Raw genomic sequence first — 8,109 nt, 5'->3', positions numbered from 1 at the left:
GAACTCCCATTACTGTTCACTTGGGGAATCCCAAGGGCTTCCAGGTAGCCAAGGGCTCTGTAAGAGCGGTGACCTGGACACTCTGGCATGTACCACAAGTCTGAGGATAGACAAAGCTACCCATTCCTGCAGGCAGAATATGCCAGGGGTCCTGAGTTTGGCTCCATCCTGTCTTAGGGAAGACTGTAGCTGTGCTGAGCTTGTGGAGTGCAGTTTTCATGACTAAAAGCATGGTGGGAAACTTGGAATACAGTCACAGGCTTGGAGACTGTGAGAGCCTCTGTTTTCAGGAAAGCCCAATAAGTAGGCAGCAACTGTTGTTTTAATGGAATACTGCATGAGGTCAAGAGGGGAAATTTTTTGTATCAGAAACTCTGGGGCAAGTAATGTTCCTAAGTAGGCCAGAGATGCCAGGAGGCATTAGAAAAGAGAGGAGAGGGGAGGAGGAGGGGGAAGAGGCAGAGGAGAGGAGAAGAAGGAGAGGAGAGGAGAGGACAGATCTGTAGCCAGTGTATTTTGAAGAACACATGTTTTAAGTTAAAATTTTTTTTCATTTAAAGATCATGATTTTTTTTTTATTATTCCTTAGAAATCTTCAAGGCCACAAAGATTTCTCTCTCTTTCTCTCTCCCTTTCTCAGATTGGAAAAAGAATACTGGCAAAACAAAGGACTTGCATCTAGACTGTATGAAGGGTTTTCAATCTTCATAAGAATGTAACTCATTAAAAATGTGCAAAAGAGTTTAACAAATACTTCAAAAAAGTATACAGATAGCAAATAAACGGATAAGTATATTTGATTAGTCATTAGGGAAATGACATTTAAATCACAATAAAATACCATTTAATACCTATTCAAATGTCTGAAATGAGGTGAGACAGGGAGAAGGTGGGGAAACTGACCATACAATATGTCTGTGAGTATGTAGAGGAACTGGAATTCTCATATATTCCTGGTGGGAATATAAAATGGTGCAATTACTTTGAAAAACAGTTTGGCATTCTCTTAAAAATTTAAATATTTACGTACCATGTGATACACCCATCCCACTTCTAGGTATTTACCCAAAAGAAATAAAGGAATATACTCATAAAAAGACTTGCACAAAAATGTTCATAGCAGCTTTATTTGTAACAGCCCAAACCTGGAAACAACCCAAATGCCTATTAATATGGGATTGCATTAATACATTTCTCTGTATCCATAAAATGGATTAGTACTGAGCAACAAAAAAATAAACTATTGACACATGCAAAAACATGGCTAAATCTCAAATTGTACCGGGTGAACAGAAAAAGAGCATACACGTCGAATGATTTTATTTATATACATTTCTGAAAAATTCAAATTAACTGATAGTGACAGAAAGCAAATCAGTGATTGCTTAAGGATTGGGGATAGGCAGGGGGTGAGGAGTGGGGAGAAAGTTCAAAGGAGTGCAAGTAAACCTTGGCGGTAATGGATAGATCTACTATCCTGATTGTGGTGATGATTTCATGGGTGTATATATGTGTCAAGATGTATCAAAATGTGCACTTTAAACTTCAGAAAAGCAGTTTTTCAAATGGCAATTTAGGAGAGATACATGGAACAATTATTATATTGAAGACATAATAAAATCCAAAGCCTGAAAATCAGACCTCCTCAATCAAAAGAGTGGACAGAGTATCACTTACGTTTTTGTTTTTGTTTCTTTTGAGATGGAGTCTTGCTCTGTCGCCCAGGCTGGAGTGCAGTGGCATGATCTCGGCTCACTGCAAGCTCCGCCTCCCGGGTTCTCCCCATTCTCCTGCCTCAGTCTCCCGAGTAGCTGGGACTACAGGCGCCCTCCACCACGCCTGGTTAATTTTTTTTTTTTTTTGTATTTTTAGTAGAGACGGGGTTTCACCATGTTAGCCAGGATGGTCTCCATCTCCTGACCTCGTGATCCGCCCGCCTAGGCCTCCCAAAGTGCTGGGATTACAGGCGTGAGCCATCCTCCCGGCCCACTTAAATATTTTTAAAGTCAGGAAGAAAATGTGTTGCTTTTGATAGATAGTAGGAAGATGGATTGACAGATGATAAATGATAGATGAATAGATGATAGATGATAGAGATAGATGGATAGTTGATAGGTAGGTAGATAGATTAATTGATAGGGATAGAGAGATTGATTGAAATATTGATAGACAGAAGATAGCTGATAGATGAATAGATGATAGATAAATGTTAGATAGATATAGACAGATATAGATAGATAGATGGATAGATAGATAGGGATAGACAGATTGATAGATTGATTGATAGATTGATGGGATAGATAGATAGATAGACAGGAAACTGCATAGTTAAAACAAATGAGATGTCCTTCTTCTCAGCTATTTAGTTGTCACAATAAACTCCATAATATAGGAGGATCCTCATTTTACAGCGTAGGAAAAGCCAGGTAGAGGGGGTCAATGCCTGGGGCCGCAAAGATCCAGGAAGTCAATGTCTGAGCCCCTTTGCATTATGTCTCCTGTCTGTGATACAGCTGGAAAGGGCTGGAAGGCTGAGAAGAAATCCCTCCTCTCCCATCCCTTATGGCCAGAGCTTTGTCACTCTCAGAAGACACTTAACAGCAGGCTCATATTTCTCATTTAACCCCTGTACAGATTTAACCATGGCTACCCAGGATCGTAACATGAATTTGTTGAAAGTTCCGAATGTTCTCAGCATATGATACAGCAACTCTGCAGGGAGATTTTAGTTCATTTTGTGGCACTTCGGCTGCTCTAACAAGATATACAATAGCACTGAACTACTCATCGGATGATTTCCAGGAACAAAGCACTTTGCGGATCTATTAGGAAGCCACAGGGTCAATGCCTAATGCTTCTTCTGCACTCCAGGATTTGAACCTTGCAGTTTTCCATTTTGGCCAGGCTCTAAGTGAAAGAGTAAGGCTTTTAGTTTGGGAAATAAGTACAAAGAAACAGTTATAAAATTTCATAATGGGAGATAGTGTTTCTCTTATTAAGCCCCCACAACTTTTACCACTGAACATCACTCTTGGCTTCGAAGAGCAAGACTAAAAAAAATTTGGTGTTTCTTTTTTAAAGTTAAAGATTAAACGAAGAAAAAAAAAGTTGCAGAACGGAAGGAAAGCCTCCAATTGCACTGTGTAATACTAATGTCTCCCTAGGAAAAGAAAGAGCAAAAGTTTGAGTTAATTGCATTAGTTTGGTGTGTCGGAATAGTTAGCTAACTCTAAAAAATTGTCAGGCTGCTCAAGAATTTTTGTTCCTTAGTTTTTCTACCTGTGCCTGCCCCACCCCAGTGAGACCCTGGGACCTTATGCATGCCTAAAGTAATAGAGAAAGGGGGAGTCTAATATGGAATTCTGGAGGATTTGTGTGTGCAACAATGAAAAATTAGTATTATATTTATATATATATATTTTTTTTGAGATGGAATCTTGCTCTGTTGCCCAGGCTGGAGTGCAGTGGCACGACCTTGGCTCACTGCAACCTCTGCCTCCTGAGTTCAAGCAATTCTCCTGCCTCAGCCTCCTGAGTAGCTGGGATTACAGACACATGCCACCACACCTGGCAAATTTTTGTATATTTTAGTAGAGAGGCTGTTTCACCATGTTGGTTAGGCTGGTCTCAAACTCCTGACCTTGTGATCTGCCCACCTTGGCCTCCCAAAGTGTTGGGATTACAGGTGTGAGCCACTGCACCTGGCCTGTATTTGATATTTTACAAGTAGGATAGCACTTACATTATCAAAAAGCTGAAAATACCACAAATTTGACTCTGACACTCCTACTATTCTTAAATTATCAAGTTAAACATCAGACAGAGAAAAATATTACCATCCATTTATAAGAGAGTTTTGAAGACATCTAACATTCTACGAGTTGTACAGAGGTGGGGACCAGGAGGATGTTTTCACTTATAAATGGATTATGTACCCATCCAATTCACATTTTGATTAGTAAATCTTTCTACAGTAACTGAGGTACTTTTGTCTTATCAATCAGGCTTCAAATTCATTGTCCACTTCAGGTTGTACCATCATGAGGAACTTTCTCAGGGACTCTAGTAAGTTCTGTGATTATATCATGAAAATCTATAAATATAGCCCATATATCCTTGACTCCAGTTAAAAAAAAAAAAGAGGAGGAGCTACCATTATCTATGATTTTATCTAAATCCTCTGGAATATTTATGTGTTCATTATCTTGTACCATTACTATAGTCCCTAGGGTTCAAAAACATGCACTTGGTTATAAATGATTAAACTAATATGGTATGTTCTATAATTCAGGATTTCATTTAATTCTCACAATAACTGTGTGTGGTAAGTACTATTATTGCTTTTTTTTTAACAGCTAAATCTGAGGCATTGACAAGATAAGTAAATTTAATCAAAGCTAGTTGAAGCTAGAATTATGGTATGAATTCAGAAATTATTATTTTAATAGCCTCCATGCTTAATCACTGCACTGTGTTTCAGAGATAGTCATTCTCTCCTGGTTTATAAGATTTACAAAAAGGTTGTACATTGATCTTATATATCATCATGAAAAAAACTTTACTGTAAATAATTAAAACTGATTCCAGACTTGGTTCCACCCTAAATGTATTAATTTTTAGGCATGAATCTATCTTGTTTTTTAAAAAATCCATATACATAATATAATAAATTATTATTACCATGTGATTTTATTTAGAACTGTCATAAATGTTAATTATAATAATTTATTTAAAAAATAAAATAAATTTTAATTGATTTCTGATGAACACTGTAGGAGAGACTTTATGCTACTTTGACCTTCCTTGGGCTTTAAATTCCAAACTTTAAACAGAGCAAATTTAAATATAACTCTGTAGTTGAAACTAACAGACGCAGAAAAAAAAAAGAAAATGTCATTGGATATAGTAACTTTGTTGACAAAGATGTTGCTATATCAATAAAAAAGACTGTCTTTGTCTCCAGGCCTCACCTTTGCTTGTTACACAATGATATCCTACCACTGGCGGGAAGACTAAAAACCAGCAATGATGTGTGTGGTTCAACAGCTCCTAAAGCTGTTTACTTGAAGTAACAATACTTTCCACTGTGCATTGTAAGTGAAGAACTGAAATGAATGTACTACCAGTGCACTTAATTGGAAGATTTAGTCAGGCAGGCAAGAAAATCCCCTAACCAGAAATAGCGACATGTGGGCTAGTAGTGTTCTAGCCACTAGTAATTGCTTAATGGTACAGAGAATCCTGGTGAAAAGCCCATGAGATATTCTTACTATTAGTGTAAACTGAATTCAAAGCTTTGGTTTGCTTGCTTAGGTATTATGTGCACTTATGAGATTAGATTAATAATAACCCAAACGGGTTCTGTTATGGCAAGTACAATCTTAATGTCTCATGGCTTTAACCATATTATTTCAGCAAGTCCTAGGTCTTAAATGAACCTCATTATTACAATCTAAGTGAGTTTGAACGAATTCAATCTCATACCAGAAAAATGTCTAAACCTCCCCTTCCAAGTCCCCCATTTTTCTATGGTTCTATAACCTTAACCCCATATTTAGAACTTTGAGGGATCTTGTAATCTATACTTCACTGTAAAGACCTTGACTCACTCAATTTTCAGTACATTCACAGCTCTCTTCATTCATATAGACTCTTTTCTATCTTTGTCCACAGGTATTGACTTGTGGTAAGCCCAGTCATCTTTCTCTGGACGGAGATTAGAAGTCTGCTGCCAGGCATCTGGGGTGCCAGACCTGGGCTCCCTCTAGTTTCTTCAATTGCAATGGTCATATTTATTTTCCTTGGATGCTGAAAATGTTTAAGAGACTCACCTGCCTCTTACACCAAATTGTAACTCAACTTATCTGAATAATTGGTGACTTCACATTTGTCATTAAATGCTTTCTTAACTTCTCTTACCCTTCTCATTTATCCCTATTTGTTAAGATCATCTTGCAGCACTAACACTTAGGAGTCCCATTAGTTCTTTTCCTTCATGCCCTGTGCTTTAGGACCAATCCAGCCAATCACAGATCCCACCTCCTGTTATTTTAATTTGCAATTTAAAAAATTCTGAGTAAAACTGAGAATCTAAATATATTTATTGGCCATTTGTATCTACTTCTTTGTAAATTGCTAGTTTTCTTTTTTATTGATTTGTTTGAGCTTTTATTAGTTAAAATAATAGAACTTTGTGAAAAGATGAATTATTTTTTCCCTGGATTGACTCTCCTTAGACTTCTAAACATTACAGTGTGTACTTGTTATCCAGAATATTTTTAGTCACATATATCTAACATTTTCTAGTATGTGAATTTTGTGTTTATTAGGAAGATCTACTCACAGCTCTCACTGTCTTTTTATGCCTACGGTGTTCACTTCACTTCAAGCCCATGCCACTGTATGCCTATATAACTACTCATTTCTGGAATGGCCCTGCAAACTCGTATCTCTTCTCCTCTTTGCGCATGGTTGCCAGTCCAAACTGCCTTAAGACAAACAAACAAACAAACAAAAATCCAACTAATGATTTAATGCATTCAGGTTTCAAAGCATGTTCTTCCATTATTTTTATAATGCAGCTTTTCCTACCTGAATGTATACTCAAGAGATTCAGAATGTCCCAAGTGGAGGAGGTTTCTTTGGGAAGCCAAAGGTAGTGTATGGACTGTAACTGGGGGCCTGTGATTGAATTGCCTCTTTCAGTTCCACCATATGGCCACCACCATCTCATAATTTCCCTTCTCAGAAAAGGTACAGCTTCATTAGGATGGCAATATATACATAAGGTGTCATTAAAGAGCCTATACAAGTCACAGCTAAAAATATGTATGAGAAAAAATAAAGTTCAAAATGATTGCCCAACAAGCATGAACTGTTCAAATAAGTTATATTGCATCACTGAATCATATGTGTTATGCTTTCAAAGATAATGTATTGCCATAAAGAAATGCTCATGACACAATGTCTCAAAAATGATATAATTGTAGTAGTCATATTAGTTCTGAGCCTTCATTGAATGCTATTTACCTAATTTCCTTTTTTAAATGTTCACTGCAAAAGCAAGATATAAAACTGTTCAAACTGGGAATTTTTTGACTTGTCTGCATTTTTTCTAAGTTTAGTAAATGAGCCCTATATTAGTTTATTAGTCAGAAAATATTATTTCAAGAAGCTAAATATTAATTCAAGTCCAAACACAATGAGGCATTTCATTTATATCTTGTCATAGAAATCTCTTAAGTGCCCTTAAAGGATCATTAAACACACCTTTTATTATTGTTTGTACACTTCACTGGAATATACATACCCCTTACTGAAATGTAAGTTTCTTGGGGGAAGAGCCATGTTTATGTTTTAATACGCTGCTCGACACAATAGGCCTTCACAGAACATCCATCGACACAAATTATCTCTGTTCATCCGGATAGGAAAAGCCTGTTTTCCAAATTTTCTACAATCACATAGGGAGCAAGAAAAAAACATTTTAAAAGTAATTTTGCTTGTTTCTAGTGAAAAATATCAAGAGGAAAACAGTCAAATAAGCAAAATGTGCCCAGAAACTGAGTCCTCTTATTAACAATGTGGATATTAATTTATAGTATAAAATAATACATATGCATAACTTAAAAACTCAGAATATCCAAAGTAAAAAGTAACATCCTTTTTTTATAACAACCCCCACCAAACTCTAAATGCAACTAGCATACATAATTTCTTATGATTTATTCCAGAGGCCCTAAACATTCATGAATGTATTAGATTATGCAAAACACATGGAGATATAGATATATTTGTTTATATTATTTATAATAGTGGAAATAAATATATATGAAAAATTTGTGTATATATGAAAAAATGTGTGTATATATCTAAATATATACATAATGAAAAATATTACATACACATCAGAAAACAATCCTGTTGCACTTGATTTTTTTTAATTTAACATATCTAGCAAACTTTCTTTTCAGAAAAGCACATCATTGTGCACTTTATTTTTTTATTTAATGTATCTAGCAATCTTTCTATTCAGTGGACTTTATTATAACACCCCTTTATCGACAGATACTTTGGTTATTGCCAAAATTATGTTTAATGCTTTTGTAA

The 8,109-nt window shown here is 36.1% G+C and overlaps 1 long non-coding RNA gene across 2 annotated transcripts in view; it reads right to left on the bottom strand.

Moving 5' to 3' along the window:
* Positions 1-1,113: 1,113 nt before the first annotated feature.
* Positions 1,114-8,109, bottom strand: part of LINC00924 (long intergenic non-protein coding RNA 924) — a 74,755-nt gene continuing 67,759 nt past the window's right edge. For both annotated transcript variants that reach the window (NR_027132.1, NR_027133.1), the window contains 2 exons: positions 7,310-7,453; positions 1,114-2,907 (listed from right to left, as the gene is read on the bottom strand). This is a non-coding gene — a long non-coding RNA (long intergenic non-protein coding RNA 924). The remainder of the gene's footprint in view (positions 2,908-7,309; positions 7,454-8,109) is intronic.

Source organism: Homo sapiens, chromosome 15, assembly GCF_000001405.40.
Source record: "Homo sapiens chromosome 15, GRCh38.p14 Primary Assembly".
Lineage (NCBI taxonomy): Eukaryota > Metazoa > Chordata > Mammalia > Primates > Hominidae > Homo > Homo sapiens.
The sequence above is the reverse complement of the archived record's forward strand: the minus strand, read 5'-3'. Positions and strand labels throughout refer to the sequence as shown.